Below are 21,015 nucleotides of genomic sequence, written 5' to 3' on the forward strand. Positions count from 1 at the left end.
ATCCTCTCTGCTGGACTCCATCAATAATGCAGCTTCAAGTTCTGGGGAGACCGCAGGGGGCCCCCCAGCTGGCTCCCCAGGCCTTGGCTCTAACTCCCACCCTCCTCCCAGCCCCAGGAGAACACGATTCTCCATGCTCATTGGCCAGTTTCCCCTAAACCCTCCCTCCGAGCACCCGGGCGCCAGTCCCAGGCGGAGGGGACGGGCTGGGGACCCCAAAGCTGGGACCGGAGGGTGAGCCCGGCAGAGGCAGAGACACACGCGGAGAGGAGGAGAGGCTGAGGGAGGGAGGTGGAGAAGGACGGGAGAGGCAGAGAGAGGAGACACGCAGAGACACTCAGGAGGGGAGAGACACCGAGACGCAGAGACACTCAGGAGGGGAGAGACACCGAGACGCAGAGACACCCAGGCCGGGGAGCGCGAGGGAGCGAGGCACAGACCTGGCTCAGCGAGCGCGGGGGGCGAGCCCCGAGTCCCGAGAGCCTGGGGGCGCGCCCAGCCCGGGCGCCGACCCTCCTCCCGCTCCCGCGCCCTCCCCTCGGCGGGCACGGTATTTTTATCCGTGCGCGAACAGCCCTCCTCCTCCTCTCGCCGCACAGCCCGCCGCCTGCGCGGGGGAGCCCAGCACAGACCGCCGCCGGGACCCCGAGTCGCGCACCCCAGCCCCACCGCCCACCCCGCGCGCCATGGACCCCAAGGACCGCAAGAAGATCCAGTTCTCGGTGCCCGCGCCCCCTAGCCAGCTCGACCCCCGCCAGGTGGAGATGGTAAGGGGCCCGTGCCCCACCCCGGCAGCGTACCCGACACACCCCGCGGGGCTTCTTCGCCCTCCCAAGGCGCTGCCCCGGCCGGACTGGCCTGGGGGTGGGGGCGCAAGGAGAGCCGGGCTCTGCCTCGGTCAGGACGGGGCGCGGGGCCGCGTGTGAAGTTAGCTGGAGACTCGTGCAACTTTTCCCCGCGGCTTTGGTCCTGATCCCGGGGCAAGAGAGTTCCTGGCAGTGAGGCTGGGGGTGCGGGGGTGGGGGGACAGGCCGATTCCAGACCGCCCAGGAGTGGGGTGGGGGCGTCCTTTGGTCCCAGCACAGTCCCCAAAGGGTAGTCAGTCTCCTAGGCTACCACCGGGACCGCTCCGCCTGGCTCTGTCCCAGAGCTGGTCAGATGTGAGCAGCGGTGGACACTGACCTTGTCACCCAGGGCAGGAGTATGAGGCTGCCACCGGGTGAATCCACTACCCTGCCCCTCTCTAATCCCGCGTGTGTGCCTGGGCTGGGGTCTCCAGAACCTGGCTCTGGCCTCCTGCTGTCAGGCCCCAGAGCCCCAACCCCAAGGAGGGAGAGGTGGGGAGTCATCACAAAGCCAGACCTCTTCCCACAGACTACTGAGTCCTCCTGAGGGCCTTCTTGGGGGTTGAGGGGCTTCCAAAGGCTGGCGGGTGCTGTGACAGAGAGCTCCACTTCCCATCCCTAGTGGAGCAGGGGTCACTTGTTGCTGAGCTGAGATGCAGCTGGCTCCCCACTGAGCAGTGATGAGGGGGCCAAGTCATTATGGGGGGAGATAGAGGGCAGGGGGTACAGTCCTGGGCCTAAGCAGCTTTGGGTCATGAGGGTGTCATGGGGAGCTTGGCTGGGGAGGTGGCAGTTTCAGCTTAACTCACCTGGTTCTCTTTGTGCATTTCCCTGGAGCTCAACAGGGACCTAATTAACTGACAGTTGGTCTGATTGCCAAGCTGAGGGGCGGGGCGGGGAGGGGGGCGGTCAGTTGCTGCTTGGCTCACGTAGCAAGGAGGGCAACTTTTCATTTCTCACAAGGACTGGGTGAAGAGTTCTGCAGCCTTACAGAGACTGGAAAAGAAGCCCAAACCAAGGCCCCCAGAGAGGTCCCCCAGGCCCCTTTGGGTCCCTGAGCCTCAGCTGGAGGTGGGGGGTGCCTGCAGTGCGCTGGCTCAGTCTCCTTCTGAAAAGCTGGATCCAGCTTGTTTGAAGCCCTTGAGCTGATCTTAGGTGGGCAGGGCCACATGGGTGCCATGGCCCGTGGGGCATCTTCCCCAGAGGGCCCAGCCGTGGCAGCTGGAGCTGTAGCCAGCTTTGGCTTCCGAGGTCTGATGTTTTCAGAAACTGGAGAGAGGAAGGGCCTTGGTGGGAGAAGATAGGAAGGGAGATGTCTGTTCTGGAGTAGCCATGGAGTGGGACAGGCATGGGCTGGGAGTCAGTGACTGGGGTTTTTCTCGTCCTTTGGACTTGTTGTGCTGTGTGGCCTTAAGCACATTGCCAAATCTCTCTGAGCCCTGCTTTTTCACCTCTGTAAAATGAGGGGGTTAGGTGAGCTACAGAGTTCCTTTTGGCTCTGACAGACTTTGATTCAAAGGTTCCCTGGGGACTCCAAAGCACTGTTTGTTCCCTGCTGCCTGGGGGTGGGGGAGGGCTGCAGGTGTCCATCCAGTCACCCCTCCCTCCATCTCCTTAGATCCGGCGCAGGAGACCAACGCCTGCCATGCTGTTCCGGCTCTCAGAGCACTCCTCACCAGGTAGGCCCCTCCCTGCCCACTTAGCCCTGGCCCCACCCTAGCTCTGATGCCTTCCTAGGGGCCCTGCCAAAGTCCCATGAACAGGAGTCAAAGCTGGAGACTGGGGAGTGGATAAGGTCTGGGAACCCAACTCTATTGGCTTTATTTATTGACATGACACCTCCCAGCCGCAGGAGGGAGAGGGCACACTTTCCCTGTCCCCAGAGATTGAGACCCTGGGGAAAATAACTCGGATTCTTTCTCTCTCTCCCTCTTCTCTTTTCCTCCTCGCTTGGTTCTGGTTCGGTTGGCTTTGGTGGCCTTCCTCAGAGGAGGAAGCCTCCCCCCACCAGGTGAGTTTCCTGGGGCAGCTGGAAGGAGGGATGCCTGGGCCCCTTGGGGTGGGGTGGACGGGTGCCTGCAGTGACAACCAACCAGTATGGGGTGCCACCCAAGAGGACACATTAGCATATCAATGGGCAGTCCTCTGAGAGTGCCTCATGCCAGGGTGCCACCAGCAGATCCTCCTCTGCTCAGACTCAGGGTGGAACCTCCTGGACCTAGAGTCCTGCCCTGAACCAGGCCATGGCTTATGGGGGGCCCCCCCTAAAGCCACAGGGTGGGGAGGCTCAGCCTAGGTGCAGGACCCATTAGCAGTGGCTAAATCAGTCTGCTTGGGTGGCCATGGGTGGGATGGAATGGAGGGATGGTGAAGGCAAGGGCCTCTGCTGAGCCCCTTTAACCTGGCACTTCCCCTGGCAGAGAGCCTCAGGAGAGGGGCACCATCTCAAGTCGAAGAGACCCAACCCCTGTGCCTACACACCACCTTCGCTGAAAGGTACTATACCCCCACCGACCTTCCTGGCTGTCCGCCTGATCCCTGGAACTGGGCAGACGCTAGGGGAGCTTTTGTCAGTGGGGAGGGATTGTTTCGCCACACATAGCCCGCTGTCAGCGTGGCGCAACAACCCAACGTAAAGACCAATTTTTTCTCAGTCTGGCCTTGCAAAACACAGGAGTCCCGAGGCTGCAATGGGCAGCTATGGGCCTTAACATCGGGTTGTGGGCTTGAAAGAAAAGAGATGGCTGGCCTAAGACAACCAGCAGGCATCCGCGTGGAAGGGACTCCACCTGCAGCTCCTCTTCACCAGCCTGTGGTGGACCACCTCCCACCCCTGCTCATCCAGGGCGCCTTCTCCTGTGGGCTTCACCCCTGGCCTCCCCTCCCATTTGCATCCCATTTGCACAGATCTGCACACTGGTCTCCTCTTTCCTGCTTCCCTTTCTCCATGGAAAAGCAAGCCATTCCTTTTGCACACTTACTCAACACCTAGTATATGCCAGGCCAAGTTGGTGGGCATTGGGCAGAATAAGATGAGTCAGATTTGGTCCCTGCCCCCTTGGGGCTCTTTGCCTCAAAGGGTCAGGGAGGGGCCAAGTAAGGTGGCTCACACCTGAAATCCCAGCACTTTGGGAGGCCAAGGCGGGAGGACTGCTTGAGCCTAGGAGTTCGAGACCAGCTTGGGCAATACAGTGAGACCCCCATCTCTATGAAAAATTTACAAAGTGAGCTAAGCGGGCCGGGCGCAGTGACTCACGCCTGTAATCCCAGCACTTTGGGAGGCCGAGGCGGGCAGATCACCTGAGGTCAGGAGTTTGAGACCAGCCTGACCAACATGGAGAAATCCTGTCTCTATTAAAAATACAAAATTAGCCAGGCGTGGTAGCGCATGCCTGTCATCTCAGCTACTCAGGAGGCTGAGGCAGGAGAATCACTTGAACCCGGGAGGCAGAGGTTGTGGTGAGCTGAGATCGCACCATTGCACTCCAGTCTGGGCAAAAAGAGCAAAACTCTGTCTCAAGAAAAAAAAAAAAGTGAGCTAAGCATAGAGGTGCACACCTATAGTCCCAGATACTTGGGAGGCTAAGGCACAAGGATTGCTTGAGCCCAGAAGTTTGAGGCTGCAGTGAGCTATGATCGCACCACTGTGCTCCAGTCTGGGCTACAGAGTGAGAGCCTGTCTCGGGAAAAAATAAAAAAAGAAAAGGGTCAAGGAAGGTACACAAAGATGTTTAAGCTTGGATTTGAAGGATCATAGGAATTTAACAGGCAGGCAAGGGCATCCCAGGTCCAAGAAGAGGGAAGAAGGTGTGCAAAGAGAAAGAGATGCGAGTCAGAGGGGGACTTCTGGGCCAACCTGGAGGAGGCTTCGTTTCTAGTCAGGGAGCTGGGGAGATATACCTGAAGGACATAGGAGGGCCTCTTCCTGACTAAGCCCTGTTGCCTACCAACCCCCCACCTCAACTCCTGCCTGGGGCTCTTCCTGCCCGGCCAGCCCCCTCCGCTCCTGCGGAGGTTGGGAGGGAGAGCTACCGGAAGAGTATGCTGGGAAGTGGTTCGGGGGAGGGTTTAATAAGTTCCCAGCACCAGCCAAGGTCAACAGGTATACCTGTCAGCCCACTTGCCAGGGTTGGGAACAGAGAGGAGAGGCTGGGAAGGGAGGAGAGAAGGGAAGGGGTTATTTTGCTTTCCCCAGGACAGGAAAATGAAGGGTCAGAGCTGCAGCAAGTGGGCAGTGTGGCTCAGCACCTGGAAGGACCTCCCCACCTAGAGGGGTGTGTGGAAGGGCCCCAAAGCAGGCATGAGGGACAGAGTGTCATCTTCTCAGGAGAGAATTTAAGAAATCCCTCTCCCTCCCACCTTGGGCTGGGTAGGGAGAGGCTGGGTGGATGTGAGGGGAAGACCTGGCTCTTGACTGCAAGCATGGGCGAACAGGCCAGGATGAAGATGTTAGGGCCAGGGTGCTACCATGCACCGTGCAGTGGTCAAAATTGTGCACCCCCTCAACTGCCCCTTTAGGCCACATCTTAGGAGAGTCCAGGTGAGTAGAGGCAGGGAAGAGGAAAGGGATCAGGAGAGGGGTGGCCAGTCTGGGGCAAGGCTGGGGACCTTCCAACTGAAGAAGGAAGACTTGTGGTGGGGGGAGTTTGGGGCCCCACAGAGTGGGGCAGAGAAGGAGACAGCCTGGAAGGAGTGATGGGGAGACCCCAGAGAGCCCAGGAGGCATGAGGGAGGTGGGGGAAGCGAGGGAGGCTCACGGGGCACCAGCGCAAGCACCGCACACACCTTCTGTTGTCACTGTGGCTCACGAAGTGAACTCTCCTCCCCCGCTGGGGGAGAAGGAAGCTGCCTGGGCTGCCACCTGCTCTCCTGCCTTACCTCCCCCCACAGCCCTCATGGATCCTTCTCTACCAGGAGGGCACTGTTTTGTAGGCTTCAGTCCTTTTGTGGGCAAGGGAAGGTGCCCGGCAGGGTTGGGGCTTGTCAGGGAAGAATCGAGGGCCCTAGAGAGAGGGGCACAGCACTAAGTCTTAGCTTGAGGGGTTGTGCTCCAAGGCTGGAGCTCTCACACTTGGCTCAAGATGAAGCTCTGCCGCGTCCCCAAGGTCAGGGTAGGGTGATTTATTGTGCTTTTATTGCCTGGATAGCTTGCCCAGAGCCAGCAGGAGGTACTGGGCTGGGAGCTGGGGGCTGGGTGGGGCAGCGGGCACATACAAAGCACCCTCTGTGCCTGTCCCCGAGTTGGCAGGAGCATAGCACCCTGCTCACTGTGCCGGAGGTTTCCAGCCTGGCCCTACCCCTCTGGGCCTTCTGAGGGGAGGGGCCACTGGCAGACCAAGAAGGAACTGCAGCAACTCCCCATTCCCCACCCCCAGCCCCTCCTCAGCATCTTGTCTGTGGCCTGTGAACTTTGTGTCGCATATGTTCTAAGATCCTGCCAGCTCCTGCAGCCTCTCCTCAGTGGCCCCTCAACCTCTGCCATCCCCCAGAACCCCTGGCCTTGGCCCCTTTCTCTAACCCCTTGCTCCTTTCCATCTTTTGGAAACTTGTCTCCAGCTGCCCACACTGTTCCCTTCCCAGCCCTATCTGAGCAGGTCTTTGGAGGCTGGGGGGGTTGCTTTCTAGGTCACCGCAGAGGGAGCTGGGAACCTGGGGATGTGGGTCAAGATTGTGGGGGCCGCATCTGAGCATGCCGCATCCCCCGGCACAGACTGCACTGGCTGCAGACTATTATGTCCTCAGCCTCGGAATTGTTCTGTCCCTTGGAGCCCGGGGCAGGAGTATGTGGATTGGCATCTATGACTGGGCAGTGCCAGGGAGTGGGGACTATGCATCGCATGGGAGGTAGGATCAGGGTAAGCAGTGAGCCCTCAGCAGGCTGGGCACCCCCAAGAAATGGAAAGTGGCAAATCCCCAGGCCCTGGTTCCTACGCCCTGTGCCTTCTGCCTGGGCTTGAAGCTGGGAGACACTGTCTCCCGTACTGGGTACTTGGAAAATCAAGCTCTCCAGCCAGGGAATGTTAAGCTGCTGCTGTGCCCGCCTGGTCTTGCCCAGCCTAGTGCCCTATGGTGTGGGGGAGCTGCCTGGGGGCTAGCATCTTAGGACAGCTTAAGAGCCAAACATGATCAAATCTACCCCTGGCTGCCTCTGCCCTGGTCTGACACCCATCAGGCTGACCTGTCAACTTTGGCCTTTGAACTTGGGCCCCTGAGGGGGTATTCTCTGCCCCAGGCCTACGGGAAGGAGGCTGGGGGCTAGGCCACAGGCTATCTCCAGATCCATGGGCTGTGTCTAGCTGACCCTTGCTTTCCTCGGTCTCCTCTGTGCCAGCTGTGCAGCGCATTGCTGAGTCTCACCTGCAGTCTATCAGCAATTTGAATGAGAACCAGGCCTCAGAGGAGGAGGATGAGCTGGGGGAGCTTCGGGAGCTGGGTTATCCAAGAGAGGAAGATGAGGAGGAAGAGGAGGATGATGAAGAAGAGGAAGAAGAAGAGGACAGCCAGGCTGAAGTCCTGAAGGTCATCAGGCAGTCTGGTAAGCTGAGGGGCCTGTGACATGTGGATTAGCTGTGGGTCCTCCTTGAGTATACGAGGACGTCCCCTTCTAGTTCAGTGTCTCATACACGCAAACTGTAGTGACACCACAGGGGCCTCCCTGTCTTCTCGCTCCATGGGGTGCCCCGAACTCAGCCCTACCTGAGACATGGGTTTCCTCCATCCTTGGCTCAGTCCCTCTCCCAATCAGGTTTTCCCTAATAATTCCTCTCTTCCCTGAGAATTAAGGCCAAGGCCGTTTGGGGTTTGAGGCTAGAGCCAAAAGAGGACTTCCCACCTATGGCAGTAAGGGGGCGTGAGGACATTCAGGGATGGAGGACCAGGAGAGTCCAACACCCCTGTCACCTGCATTTCACCTACATTTTTGAACCTAGGATGTGGTCTCTGCTGGGGTGCAGAGGGCTGCCTCATTTACTTGCCCTCTCCAGGACTGTTGTCTGTTTCTCCTCTTTTTCCTTCCTAGGATGGAGTGGGAGGGTGCCCTCTAGTGTTTAGATGTAGAATTTAAAATTCAAGAACCAGCCCGGCCCATTAACCTTTTTAGTCTCATTATTTATGGGAATACTGAAGAGTCAACCACCCCTACTAGAAGCTGTCAGCTCTTCCACACAAACAAAAGGCCTTGGGCCTCCTGCCTGCATATCTGGCAGTGAAGAGATTGGCCATGGGGGCAAAAGCTGTTGCTGGGCTTCAGTCCCTTTGTGGGCAAGAGACAGCTGGAAGACCTGAATCAGTCCTCACTGAGACCCCTCCAAAACAGTGGAAGAGGGGTGAGAGGAGACTGTTCCCTCAGGAAAAGCAGCAGGTGGCTGGGTGCGGTGGCTCATGCCTGTAATTCCAGCACTTTGGGATGCCAAGGCTAGCGGATCACTTGAGGTCTGGAGTTCAAGACCAGTCCAGCCAACATGGTGAAACCCCATCTGTAATAAAAATACAAAAATTAGCCAGGCACAGTGGCACACACCTGTAATCCCAGCTGCTTGGGAGGCTGAGGCAGAAGAATCCCCTGAACCTGGGAGGTGGAAGTTGCAGTGAGCTGAGATCGCACCACTGCACTCCAGCCTGGGCAACAGAGTGAGACTCCATCTCAAAAACAAAAACAAAAAACCAAAACAAAACAACAAAAAAAAACAAACAAACAAAAAATGCAGAAGGGCACCGGGTCAAATGATAGTCCTATGATGGAGCAATATAAACCACCACGACTCCTAGTGGCTCCTGGGTGCTGGCGCTGGGCTGGGCAGGGTATTCACTATTACATCTTGTTTAAGGTAATCTACACAATTTCCCCCTTTCTATTTCCTTCAGAAAGGTACTAACTGACTTACGTAAGCCATATGGCTAGTTGCTGGGAGAGCTGTTCTAGCCCAGTTCTCTCTCCATGCTTCCATGATGCCCCTGGAAAGCTTAACCTCAGCCATCAGACACTTAGCTCACACTCCAGGACAGCCGGATGGATACGCAGAGCCTGTGTTCTTATCTCTTCTTTCCCATCCCCAGCTGGGCAAAAGACAACCTGTGGCCAGGGTCTGGAAGGGCCCTGGGAGCGCCCACCCCCTCTGGATGAGTCCGAGAGAGATGGAGGCTCTGAGGACCAAGTGGAAGACCCAGCACTAAGTGGTAAGGCTTGGGAGTGTGAAATGGGGAGGAGGGGCTGGGATCTTGGTGGGTGGGGCCAGGCCCTGAGTCCCTCTCTGCTTGCCTTTCAGAGCCTGGGGAGGAACCTCAGCGCCCTTCCCCCTCTGAGCCTGGCACATAGGCACCCAGCCTGCATCTCCCAGGAGGAAGTGGAGGGGACATCGCTGTTCCCCAGAAACCCACTCTATCCTCACCCTGTTTTGTGCTCTTCCCCTCGCCTGCTAGGGCTGCGGCTTCTGACTTCTAGAAGACTAAGGCTGGTCTGTGTTTGCTTGTTTGCCCACCTTTGGCTGATACCCAGAGAACCTGGGCACTTGCTGCCTGATGCCCACCCCTGCCAGTCATTCCTCCATTCACCCAGCGGGAGGTGGGATGTGAGACAGCCCACATTGGAAAATCCAGAAAACCGGGAACAGGGATTTGCCCTTCACAATTCTACTCCCCAGATCCTCTCCCCTGGACACAGGAGACCCACAGGGCAGGACCCTAAGATCTGGGGAAAGGAGGTCCTGAGAACCTTGAGGTACCCTTAGATCCTTTTCTACCCACTTTCCTATGGAGGATTCCAAGTCACCACTTCTCTCACCGGCTTCTACCAGGGTCCAGGACTAAGGCGTTTTTCTCCATAGCCTCAACATTTTGGGAATCTTCCCTTAATCACCCTTGCTCCTCCTGGGTGCCTGGAAGATGGACTGGCAGAGACCTCTTTGTTGCGTTTTGTGCTTTGATGCCAGGAATGCCGCCTAGTTTATGTCCCCGGTGGGGCACACAGCGGGGGGCGCCAGGTTTTCCTTGTCCCCCAGCTGCTCTGCCCCTTTCCCCTTCTTCCCTGACTCCAGGCCTGAACCCCTCCCGTGCTGTAATAAATCTTTGTAAATAACTGCTGAGACTCCTCTTTCAGGGGAAGCAGGAGGAAAAGGGAGGTAATGGGGCGTCCTGATAGGGAAGGCCGGTGGTCAACCAAGGGTTAGGGTTTTGACCCTACTGTCCAATCCTCTAGTCTAGGAGTCTTTCTGGCAGACAGCAGGCTCGGGGCACTCAGAGGAAGAACTACAGAAGTTCTAGCTGCTGCTTGGGATGGCTGAAGGAGGCAGGTGGGGTGGGGAAGTCCTTCTCGAATAACTGGATTCCTCCAAAGATTTCCCCATCCCCACAGGACTCCCCTCGGGAAATTCCCCTTTTTCCCTCAGTGCCAGGCCTGTGTGGCCTAATAACGACGGCCCTGGTCTTCTTCCCACTCCCCTACCCTTAGGTAGGCCCTTAGACTCCGGCCTTTGAGTCCGCTTCTGCGCAGGGCCGGGGCTGGAGGCGGGGCGAAGGGGCGGGGCCGCAGGCGAACGCAAGTCCCGCTTCGCTCTCGGGGGCGGACTCAGCGGCGGAAGTGGCGCTGCCGGAAGATCTTCTTCCGCTCTGAGGCGCTACTGAGGCCGCGGAGCCGGACTGCGGTTGGGGCGGGAAGAGCCGGGGCCGTGGCTGACATGGAGCAGGTGGGTCCCGGAGCGGTCGCTGGGAGCGGGTGGCGTGCGAGGGCCGTCTTCCGCCGGTCGAACCCGCTTCGCCGCCCGCTGTCCGTGCTGGGTTCCGTCCGACCCTTCCCACACCCGCTGCGTCTCAGGTTCCGCCCCCTTCCTCTGTCTGGCCTCGCGCCGCCCCGCGCGGGTTGGGGTCTCCAGCAATGACTCTTGGCGACCCCGCCTATCCTGGGGAGCCCGGGGAGGACGTTCGGGATCTCCTTCCAAAGCCTCCGTCTTAACTGAGGGGAGAGGAGAGGGTGAGGTGTCTGGGTGTTATGAGCAGGGGCAGGTATGGGGAGGGGTCGGAATCTGGGGTGAGAGGAAAACATCTACGCATTCCGGTAGCTCTGCGTCTCAGTGTCATCCCGTGTCTCCCCAACTTCCTTTCGAAACGGCCGTGAATAACTTCCTAATTGGTATTAAAAGGGCCCTTTGAAGTCTTGAGTTCTTAGAGGTGCATAGTACCATTGACACTCATTTCTAATGACACGTTCCCTCACCCCGCATTTTTGGGTTAGTCAATGTCTCCTGGTTTTCTTCGTACCGCTCTGACAGTCGGTCAAAGTCCCGCTTCACGTTTTCCTCTGTCGCCCAACCCCTCGCTCTGTACACTGAATCTCAGTGGTCTTATTTTCCCCCACGGCTTCAGCTTTACACCAACTAAATACCCAGATCCACATCTTCAGCGCAGCCCTTCCCTGGAGCTCCACGCTTGCCCATCCAGCGGCCATTGGGACAGCTCTGCTTCACATGGAGCTCACTGGGTCCAAACTTGAACTGGTCTTTTCCTTGCAGATTAATTCTTCCTCTACCCCAACCCAGCCGGAAGTCTGGTAATTTCCTTACACTTTCTCCTCTCTTTCAAGTCCCACATCTTAAAAGTGACCTAGTACTGCCAACTTCCTGAACATCCTTCAAACCTGGGCCAGCTCCATCTCTTCTGTTACCACGCTGTTGATGTATTGTCAATTCCCAACAGTCCAGCCCTGGCAGCTTGCAACCCAGTCTCCAAACTGTAACTCTTGTGATCCTTTTAGAACACAAGTCTTACGGTGCCAGTTCCTTGCTGATAACCTTTTTCTGGCTTTCTATTGCCTATGTGCTGAACCCCTAGCACAATTTACACAGCTCTCTGTGATCTGACCTAGCAGTCTCCTGTGTGCACCCTAAGGTCCAATAATACGGCACTGCAGCATGCGCCATGCCTACCCTTGCTGTTCGTATCTTCATGACTTTGCACACACCAGCCCCCGCTGCTTGGAAACCTCCTCCTTCTCTTGTCTGCTGGGCTACCTTCTACATGTTTTTCAGCGCAGGCAGCGCTGCCTCCGCCTAACCCCCAAGGTTAATTGCCCTTCTGTGTCCTGTAGCACCCTGTCCATAATAGCATAGTAGCTGAGAATACAGACTCCTGGATCAGACTGCCTGGGTTCTGACCTGTTTGGTAACCTTGATGAAGTCAGTGCCTCAATTTCCTCACTTGTAAAATGGAGGTAGGAATGTCTCTACTTCATAGAGTTGTGAGGATTGAATGGAATATTGTATGTTTAGGTCTTAAACCAGTGCTAGGCACAAGAATGCTCAATAAATTAAAGTGAGTTGCCTGGGTGCAGTGGCTCATGCATTAATCCTAGTACTTTGGGAGGCAAGGCAGGATGATCGCTTGAGGCCAGGGGTTTGCAACTAGCTTGGGCAACATAGTGAGACCCCATCGCTACAAAAATTTAAAAAACTAGCTGAGCATGGTGGTACGTGTGGGAGGATCCTTTGAGCCCAGGAATTTGAAGTTACAACGAGATATGGTTGTGCCACTGCACTCTAGTGTGAGGGACAGAGTGAGATCCTGTTTCTAAAATAAATAAATAAAAAGTTATTACTATTATGTAAGGACAACATAGTTCACCAGTTATGATTTTTAATTTCATAAGTTGCCTGAGGATGGTTGAAGTGGCTTACTAGTCATTGGATAGAGCCTGGCTCTTTGCCAATAAATAAAATGCTGGAGTGGAGGACACTGGGGGCAGGGTCTGGATTTATTGAGTGAAGATTCAAGAGTGAAAAAGGCTCAGACCTGGTCTGCTCAGGAAAACCAGTCTGGAAGTGTGTGTGTGTTACATGGCAAGCATTAAATCTAGAGAAATGTATAGATCTGGGAACTAGAGGGAGAAAAAGACCAGGGGCGGCTTCTGAGGAGCTGACAGTTAATGGGGCCTATAAAGCGATGGGAGGATTTTATCAGAGGGAGGCAGAGGCTGGAGTGGGCTCAGAGATCAGAAAGCTGGGTCCTCTGAACAGAGCTCCAGTAGATGGTGGCTGGGTGGGGGAACAGGGGAGACGGAGCTGAGGAAGACAGAGGCAGCGTCCTTTGCTGACGCTGGCAATTCCTTTCCTGTATTGGCCATGAGGAAGCATCCCTTGACTTGGGAGCCAGCAGGGACCATGCCTGGGGGCAACTATGCTCCGGAGGCCTAGTACCTGGTGTTTGGGACCAGGCCCCCTGGGTAGGGCCATTGTGCATGCCTTTGGGCTGGGCCTTCTTTGGAGCTCTTTTGCCTCCCTGTAATGCCCACCCTCCTTGCCTCCAGCTGATAGATGCTGACTCTTCAAGGCCAGGGTCAGATGGCCCCTCCTCCCTGTGGCTTTTCTGACTTCACTCATTCCAGCCTGGGTCAGATGATCCCTTCTCTGGGAGCCCACGGTCCTTTGTTCATTCCTCCCTGAAAGCGCTGATCACAGCATGGTATTATTTATCTGCCAGTCTTCCTCACCAGACCCAGAGTCCCTGATGGACCAGAACAGGGTCCTGTGGCCCCAGGACTTGCACTGTGTCCAGCATACTGTAGGCCCTTGGAACCCGCATGTTGCATTAAGTTGAGCTCTCACACAGCTAGACTTGTTAAGGGAGAGCGGTGCGGGGGAGATAAAAAATCCGGCACATCTGGCAGCTTGTGCCTGTTCCACTGAATGCGAGAGCCTGTTGGCTCCACTTTACAGATGAGGAAGCTGAGGTTCAGGGGAGGTAAGGTCAAGATCACTCAGCAGGGATTTAAAGAGCTGTCTCCTGACTCCAGGTCTGCATGTCTCCCAGAAACTGCCTTGGGGTCCCAGCCTCCAAGGGGGCAGGTGCCACATCAGTGGGACAAAAGAAAAGTGTCCCTTTTTCTGGCTGAGGAGAGGCTAATCCTGGCTTTGTCCAGGCAGGGTTGGTGCCTGGAGGATCCTGTGCTGAAACCGGCTCCCTTCCATCCCCCCAACCCCCCCACCCCTTGTCCCTTGCCCTATGGGGGCCTTTTCTTGAGAGGGCTGAGATCTCTCCTGGAAGATGACTAGCCGTTTCCAGACTAACCTTGGGAACTTGACCTCACTGGTTTACATAGCAGCACGAAGAGGGCAGGTGGGGCCTGATTCACTGGCCCTGAGTGGGTCAGGGGTCATGGAATCACAGAACTGGGGGCATCCCTGATGATTCACAGGGCCTGGCACAAGGGGGAAGGGAGGGCAAGTAGATCTCAGTGTGTTAGGGTCTTCCTGTACACTGCACCCGCAGAGCCTCCCCGGCTGGGGGGAGAAGTGTGTGGTGGTGAGTCTTGTTTCTATTTGGCTTAACTCTTCCCCTTCCGCTTCCTCAGAAGGAAAGGAGAAACAGAGCCAGGCTTTGGCTTTGGGTCTTATTTGTCACTGTAGCTGTGTCCTCCTCTCCCTACACTCCCACTTCTCCAGGGGATTTCCCAAACCCTCTGTGGAGGGCTATAGTAGGGCCAGTCAGCCAACCATCCCGAGGCTGATGGCATGGGCCAGTAACCCTGAATGTGCCATCCTAGCCAGGCGCAGTGGTGCACACCTGTAGGCTCAACTACTTGGGAACCTACTCCCAAGTTTTTGACTCCAGGATTGATGTCCAACCCCAAACCCACACCCTTTCTCCTGTTCCAGGGTGGACATTACGGATCCACAGACTAGCTAACTTACTAGACATGTACCGTGGCCAGGCACTGTGGCTGTGACTTGGACCTCAAGGGCTTAGGACAGATGGCCTTGAAACATCTAGCTGTGATAAGGGAAATGCTGACCCAGAGTTACTTGGGAGGCTGAGGCAGGATTGCTTGAGCCCAGGAGTTTGAGACCACAGTGTCCTATGATCGCGCCTGTGAACAGCCACTGCACTCCAGTCTGGCAACATAGTGAGACCTGTCTCTTAAAAAAAAAAAAAGTGTCATTCTGGGTCAGCCCCCTGAAGCCAGGGTCTACCCTTCCATTCTGCAGTACTGCTGGGACTCTCAGTTTGGGCAAAGTGCTATGCTGGACCTGCCTGGCCAGGGTCCTGCCTCTAACACTGTCCCCATGGGTAATAGTAGTAATAGCTGCTATTAATTAAGCACAGACACTGTGCATGTGTTGTTTCTAATCCCTTCAAGCTCTGTGAAGTAGGTACTATATTCTCCCCATTTTACAGAAAAGGAGACTGAAGTTCAGAGAAACCCAGTGATTTGGTCAAGGGCACACAATCTAATAAGGAATGGCCTTAGGTTTTTGCCTCCAGGACTGGTGTCCAACCCCAAACCCACACCCTTTTCCCTGTTCCAGGGTGGACATTATGGATCCACAGGCTAACTTACTAGACATGTATCATGGCCAGGCACTGTGACTGTGACTTGGACCTCAAGGGCTTGGGACAGATGGCCTCGAGACATCTAGCTGTGATAAGGGAAGTGCTGACCCAGAGTTCTGAAAGGTCAGGGGAGTCTGGAGGGTGAGGAGAAGCTCTGCCCCGGAGGTGACATTTGAACTAGTCTCTGAAGCGCCAGAGTTCTCCCCAAAGGAAGGAGGTCATTCAAGAATGAGGAAACAGGGCGCCCAGGCGATGGGCTGTGGTGTGTCCTGGGAGCAGCCAATGATCAGCAGAGTAGAGGCAGCGAGTGTTGACCCCCATAGCAAAAAATGAGTGCTGGGGTCTGGAGTCCTCCCTCCTCCTTAACCCTCCTCTGTTATCAAAGACTCAAGGTTAACTCACCTTACGTCTTCTCCCTACAAGTCAGGCTCAGGGAGGGGAGCAGATACCCTGCTTGAGGACCCCCAGGAAACCAGTTCCTCTTTCCTTCTTGTGGAGGGAGTGCCTGGGCTCTGGGCAGGGAAGACCCCCACAGAGGGTGGAGTCCAGCTCCAGGAGAGGCAGCCTGGGCAGGGAGGGGCTGCTCTCCCGGCTGGGCGTGAGTGTCCATGTGCACTTGTGCATGTGCTGCTGTAGGGAAGGGTGTAAATGGCCGTTCAGTGCATTTCCTGGAAACCCACTCTGAGCCTGGTACAGTTCTGGCACTGGGCATGCAGCAGGGAGCAAAGCACAGGAAGTCCTTACTTTCATGGAGTTCGCATGCCAGTGGGAGACGATGGGCAGTAAACACAGACCAGTGAATGTATCATATGTCAGGGGTGACAAGTGCTGTGAAGAAAAATACAGCAGGGTAAGGGATGGAGGGTGGGGGCTAAATAGAGGTTCAGGAATGGTCTCTACAAAGGGACATTTGCATAGGGACCTCATTGGAATGAGAGAGCAAGTCATGCAAAGACCTGGGGAGGAGCTCCCGACAGAGCAGCAGGTGCAAGGGCCCTGGGGTAGGAGCATGCTTGATGTGTCCGTGGACAGCGAGGGACCAGTGTGGCTGGAGTAGAGGGCTCAAGGGGAAGAGGAAAGGGGAAGAGGAGGACTTGTAGGCTAGGGTGGGGACTTACGCCTTTATTCTGGGGAAGCCATTGGAGGTTGGGGCACTGGGGAGATGTGATCTGGCTTTTAACAGGATCCCTGTGGCTGCTGTGTTGAGAACAGGCTGAAGGGGTGAAGACAAGAAAGAGTGGCAGGTAGAGGTGATAGCCTGGACAGGGTGACATAGTGGTAGGTGAGCAGTGGGCAGATACTGGCCAGATTTTGCAGGAAGAGACAACAGGATTTGCTCATGGTTTGGATGTGGAAGGGAGGTGTGACCAGATGAATGCTAAGCCCAAAGAGGGCCTCTTGACACACTGTCCCCCAGCTAGCAAGGACTCTTGCAGGCAGCAGCATTTGTACTTAGAAGGTCCCAGCCTGTCATGGGGGAAGGTCATGTTCCTCTGGGGTCGGCTCCGCTCTGCCTCTTCCTGGCTAGGGGACTGTGGGCAGCTCTCCTTCCCATGAGTCATCACTACAGCTTCTGGGAAGGGGTGTGATGCATTAAGGAGATGGTGTCTGCATGGTGCCACCGCAGGCCATGGCCAGCTGGATCTGTGTCTTCTGCACCAGCCCATCTGGATGCAGTGCAACCTGTCTGGTCTGCTATCCTGCGTTCCCCTAACTGGCACCCTCCTGGGCCAGCCAGCAGCAGGACATAGACCAAGGCCAACCTCCTCCACACCCAGGGCCTCTGCCTTCTACCCTCTGTGGAGTCTCCATTAACTTGGCATTGACAGGGCTGCTTGACTCAAAACAACCCCAGCCCTGCCCTGAAGCCATCTCGCCAGTCAGTCAGAGCTCAAGACTCTCTCTTTCTCTGGAGAAGAGCAGGAAAGTAATCCCAGCTAACCCTCATGCAGCCACCACTCTGTGTCAGAATCTCTTCTAGGCCATTGCATTGAATAAGTCATTTAATCCATATAAACCTGCAAGGAGTAGGTGATATTGTTAACCCCATTTTATAGGCGAGGAAACTGAGGCATGGTGAGGTTAAGTGACCAGCAAGGTGGAAATCTGAGGTTTGACCCATCTCCTGGTGTGGAGTCCAGTTCTCTCAGCTTCACTGATCCTTCCTGATTTGTGCTGAGTTAGGGACCCCTTGGGAAGCCCCCATGGGCAGGGGGTGCTGGTGCTAGCATTTCCTGTGGATTATGGGAGGGGGATGTGTGGAGGACCTGTGTCTACTGTTCCTCTAGCCTCTGGGGGATTTGGAGAACCCACTCTGCCCAGAGATGTAAGTCATCTTTGGATATAGATGAGACTTGTTCCCCCTCCCCCTGAATCCCAGGGCACAGCTCTATGGAATAAGCTCTAGCTGGAACTTGTAAAGTTTGGCCCAGCCCTCCCTGGGAGGCTAGGAGGTGGGGAAGAGCCAGGAGACTCGAAGTGGTGGTGGTAGTTAATGTCTATGTGGTTAGACGTTAACCAGTTACTCTGTGGTGCCAGGCACTGTCCTAGGCACGCTATAGTTATCATTGTCTCCTTTGGTGCCCCCAGACAGCCCAGGGTCAAGACAGGTAGCCTCAGTTTACAGATGCAGCAGTGGAGGCTTGCACAATGAGTAGGTGGCTTTGTTCAAATCACAGACCTAGGCCAGGTATAAAAGCCTAAGTGTGGTGTAATTCCAGCACTTTGGGAGGCCAAGGCGGGGAGATTGCTTGAGTCCAGGAGTTTGACACCAGCCTGGGCAACATAGTGAGACCCTGTCTCTACAAAAAAAAAAAAAAAAGAAGAAGAAAAGAAAAGAAAAATTAGCCTGGCATGGTGGCATCTGCCTGTAGTCCCAGCTACTCAGGAGGCTGAGGCAGGAAGATCACTTGAGCCAGGGAATGTTTGAGGCTGCAATGAGCTGTAATCACACCACTGCACTCCAGCATGGGCGACAGAGTCTCAAAAAAAAAAAAAAAAATCGCAGACTTGCCTTGGCTAGGAAACGCCTACTGAGAGCTGCCGTCGGTCAGCTGGGCTTTGGAGCCGCCTCCCTGAAGAAAGGTGTCTGGAGCTTCTGGCCTGGGGTATGACGAAGGGCTAGCAAGGAACCCTGTCTGTGGCTCTGCAGCCTGAGATTTGTGGAAATTGAAAATTGGAGGTGGGTGAGTGGGAGGCGGCTTAGCCATCCTGCTGTCCTCCTCTTCTGTCTGCGGGAAGGGGCAGCCGATGCTGTTCCCTGGGTGGGAGCTTGCAATTGCAGAGGGGCCGGTCTCAAGAGGAAGGAGTAGAGATCAGCCCCTGCACTCCCCTAAGAGCCTCTGCCAGGAGCCAGGACAGTCCTCTACTTCCTGCCCCTCCCCCAACCTGGAATTCACCTCTGCCTGCAGCTGGATAACCTGGCCTTTCTATAGATGAAGGAACCAGGCTAGAGGGTTAGGGAGCTTGCTCTGAGCCACACAGCAGGTGAATTGTAGAGTTCAGATTTGAACCCACGCCTTTTGGGGTGATTTTTATTACATGTCACTATAGTGTATTTAACCTCCCTCGCTCACAATTTCCCTCTTACTTGAAAGGTTTTTGTTTTGTTTTGTTTTTTTGAGACAGAGTCTCACTGTGTCACCCGGGCGGGGGTGCAATGGTGTGATCTCGGCTCACTGCAACCTCCGCTTCCCGGGTTCAAATGATTCTCCTGCCTCATACTCCCAAGTAGCTGCGATTACAGGCACACGCCACCATGCCTGGCTAATTTTTTTGTATGTTTAGTAGAGACGAGGTTTCAGCATGTTGGCCAGGCTGGCCTCAAACTCCTGACCTCAAGGGATCCTCCCACCTCAGCCTCCCAAAGGGCTGAGCCACTGCTCCTAGCCCCATCTTACCCGAAAAGTCTTGCCAGCTACTTAATCTATCTCAACCACCACTGACCAAGCGGTTACCATACTCCCTCCTGACACCTACCTCAACACCCATCCCTGTGACATAGGGATTCTTGCCTTTTTTTTTTTTTTTTTTTTTTTTTTTTGAGATGGAGTCTCACTCTGTCACCCAGACTGGAATGCAGTGGCGGGATCTTGGCTCACTGCAACCTTCGCCCCTCAGGTTCAATCAATCCTCCCACCTCAGCCTCCCAAGTAGTTGGGACTACAGGTGCACACCACCACACCCGGCTATTTTTTGTAATTTTAGTAGAGACAGGGTTTTGCCATGTTGGCCAGGCTGGTCTCAAACTCCTGACCTCAGGTGATCACCTGCCTCAGCCTCCCAAAGTGCTGAGATTATAGGTGTGAGCCACCGTGTCTGGCTTCTTGCCTTTTCTTGTCATGGTAAAATATACATAACATAAAACTTACCATTTTAACCTTTTGTTTGTTGTTTTTTGTTTTGAGACAGGGTTTCTCTCTGTCACCCAGGCTTGAGTGCAGTGGCACAGTCTCAGCCCACTGCAACCTCCACCTCCCCGGCTCAAGTGATCCTTCCTCCTCAGGCTCCTGAGTAGCTGGGACTGCAGGTGTGTGTTACCACGCCTGGCAAATTTTTGTATTTTTTGTAGAGACGGGGCTTTGTTGTGTTGCCCAGACTGTTCTTGAACTCCTGAGCTCAAGCAGTCCTTCCTCCTTGGCCTCCCAAAGTGCTGGGATTACAGGCCTGAGCTACCACACCCAGCCTATTGTTGCCTGTTTTAATGCAGCTGAGGAAACTGAGTCTCAGAAGGGTTATGCTTTGCCCCAGAGCACACAGCTAGGAAGGGGACAGTCTGAGATTTGAACCATGACCTTAGAGTCCATTCCTTTTTCCATGATACCAGCCACCTCCTGTTTGTCCTGAGTCCAGGACACCACCCAAAACCCTATTACAAGTGGGGCTGGTACTATTGTATCCTAGGGTGAGGAAGAGAAGGCCTGGAAAGCGGTGTGGGGGCGTGTGCCCACCCCTTCCCTTTGCCTCATGAATAATCCGCTGTTCCCTGGCACCTGACTTCCCCCCTCCCCACCCGCTTCCCCCTCTAACCCAGGATGGTAAAACCTCCACTTTTGCCCGGCGTGGTGGCTCACGCCTATAATCCCAGCACTTTGGGAGGCCGAGGTGGGCGGATCACAAGGTCAAGAGATCGAGACCATCCTGGCCAACATGGTGAAACCCCATCTCTACTAAAAATACATAAATAGGCAGGCGTGGTGGCGGGCACCTGTAGTCCCCTCTACTTGGGAGGCTGAGGCAGGAGAATCGCTTGCACCTGGGAGGCGGAGGTTGCAGTGAGCCGAGATCGTGCCACTGCACTCCAGCCTGGTGACAGAGCGAGACTCTGTCTCAAAAAAGTTAAAAAAAAAAAAACCCTCCACTTTCCCCCCTACCTCCCACTCTCACTCCCTCCCCAAGCAGTTCAGCTTCTGCAGACACTCGACTGTCAAGTCTGCAGCCATCCCAGGCAGACTCTTTCACACCACACGTGCTGTTCCCCTCCTGACACTTCTGAAGGTGCTTGGGAGAGGCCAGTCACAGCAACCAGTGGGCTCTTTTGGCAGTGGGTGGGGTGCTGCTCCCAGGGGGCTGGGCTGTCTCTGAATTGTCCATTCCTGCCTCCCCCTCATCAGGAGGGTGGGTGTGGTGGGTGGAGGCCTGCGCTAGCTGTGATGCCTCCAGGGCTAGGCAGCCTACAGTCAGCCAGAGAATGAGCACTTTGGGGACTGCACAGGGCAGTTCCACGCCACGGTGGGTTTTCATCACTTAGACTGGCAGGTGGTCTGATGGAGCTCAAAGGCCTTTCAAAGTCATCTGAGTGAGCCCCATTTTCAAACCCTAGCCAACGAGGCCTCACTCAGGGTGATGCTGGAGT

The 21,015-nt window shown here is 55.5% G+C and overlaps 2 protein-coding genes and 1 long non-coding RNA gene across 19 annotated transcripts in view, besides 5 other annotated features; 2 read left to right on the forward strand and 1 right to left on the reverse strand.

Annotated features, from left to right (window-relative positions):
• PPP1R1B (protein phosphatase 1 regulatory inhibitor subunit 1B) lies at positions 1 to 9,918 on the forward strand. 5 transcript variants are annotated; one of them, XM_017025216.3, is made up of 8 exons: positions 1 to 234; positions 600 to 767; positions 2,464 to 2,524; positions 2,834 to 2,856; positions 3,266 to 3,341; positions 7,177 to 7,380; positions 8,901 to 9,020; positions 9,110 to 9,918. In XM_017025216.3, exons 2-8 carry the CDS (start codon positions 687 to 689, stop codon positions 9,157 to 9,159), a joined length of 615 nt encoding a protein of 204 aa, XP_016880705.1. In that variant the 5' UTR covers positions 1 to 234; positions 600 to 686; the 3' UTR covers positions 9,160 to 9,918. The 5 variants fall into 5 exon arrangements, with proteins under 5 accessions (XP_016880705.1, NP_115568.2, NP_852606.1 ...); NM_032192.4 differs by lacking the exon at positions 1 to 234 and having other exon boundaries at positions 246 to 767; NM_181505.4 differs by lacking the exons at positions 1 to 234; positions 600 to 767 and adding an exon at positions 1,797 to 2,000.
• Positions 4,656 to 5,575: an enhancer, noted in NCBI's record as "H3K4me1 hESC enhancer chr17:37787615-37788534 (GRCh37/hg19 assembly coordinates)". NCBI's record gives its function as "activates a minimal SCP1, AML or CMV promoter by ChIP-STARR-seq in primed H9 embryonic stem cells {active_cell/tissue: H9 hESC(primed)}" and the evidence as "EXISTENCE:reporter gene assay evidence [ECO:0000049][PMID:30033119]".
• Positions 5,576 to 6,495: an enhancer, noted in NCBI's record as "H3K4me1 hESC enhancer chr17:37788535-37789454 (GRCh37/hg19 assembly coordinates)". NCBI's record gives its function as "activates a minimal SCP1, AML or CMV promoter by ChIP-STARR-seq in naive H9 embryonic stem cells {active_cell/tissue: H9 hESC(naive)}" and the evidence as "EXISTENCE:reporter gene assay evidence [ECO:0000049][PMID:30033119]".
• On the reverse strand, positions 7,932 to 10,584 carry LOC124903998 (uncharacterized). The gene is made up of 2 exons (XR_007065749.1): positions 10,285 to 10,584; positions 7,932 to 8,320 (listed from the first exon to the last, which is right to left on the reverse strand). It is a non-coding gene; the product is annotated as an uncharacterized LOC124903998 (long non-coding RNA).
• Positions 8,583 to 9,206: an enhancer, noted in NCBI's record as "H3K4me1 hESC enhancer chr17:37791542-37792165 (GRCh37/hg19 assembly coordinates)". NCBI's record gives its function as "activates a minimal SCP1, AML or CMV promoter by ChIP-STARR-seq in primed H9 embryonic stem cells {active_cell/tissue: H9 hESC(primed)}" and the evidence as "EXISTENCE:reporter gene assay evidence [ECO:0000049][PMID:30033119]".
• Positions 10,380 to 10,449: a silencer, noted in NCBI's record as "silent region_8460". NCBI's record gives its function as "represses an Ori minimal core promoter by ATAC-STARR-seq in GM12878 lymphoblastoid cells {active_cell/tissue: GM12878}" and the evidence as "EXISTENCE:reporter gene assay evidence [ECO:0000049][PMID:35858748]".
• STARD3 (StAR related lipid transfer domain containing 3) overlaps positions 10,438 to 21,015 on the forward strand; it is a 27,058-nt gene continuing 16,480 nt past the window's right edge. For 10 of the 13 annotated variants that reach the window (XM_047435159.1, NM_006804.4, XM_047435164.1 and 7 more), the window contains exon 1: positions 10,438 to 10,525. The gene's annotated coding sequence lies outside the window, so the exon portion shown is untranslated. Of the gene's footprint in view, positions 10,810 to 12,026; positions 12,046 to 21,015 lie in introns of those variants that run through there. The other 3 variants (XM_047435162.1, XM_047435165.1, XM_047435163.1) reach the window with 2 other exon arrangements.
• Positions 10,990 to 11,109: an enhancer, noted in NCBI's record as "active region_12100". NCBI's record gives its function as "activates an Ori minimal core promoter by ATAC-STARR-seq in GM12878 lymphoblastoid cells {active_cell/tissue: GM12878}" and the evidence as "EXISTENCE:reporter gene assay evidence [ECO:0000049][PMID:35858748]".

This window comes from Homo sapiens, chromosome 17 (assembly GCF_000001405.40).
Source record: "Homo sapiens chromosome 17, GRCh38.p14 Primary Assembly".
In the NCBI taxonomy this organism is placed as follows: Eukaryota; Metazoa; Chordata; class Mammalia; order Primates; family Hominidae; genus Homo; species Homo sapiens.

Bases quoted from the DNA above. Each gene is read 5' to 3' on its own strand.
- PPP1R1B (XM_017025216.3), top strand. From the start codon at position 687: ATGGACCCCAAGGACCGCAAGAAGATCCAGTTCTCGGTGCCCGCGCCC. The intron at 2,857-3,265 runs GTGAGTTTCCTG...TTCCCCTGGCAG, and splicing joins AGGAAGCCTCCCCCCACCAG to AGAGCCTCAGGAGAGGGGCA. The intron at 7,381-8,900 runs GTAAGCTGAGGG...TCCCATCCCCAG, and splicing joins GAAGGTCATCAGGCAGTCTG to CTGGGCAAAAGACAACCTGT.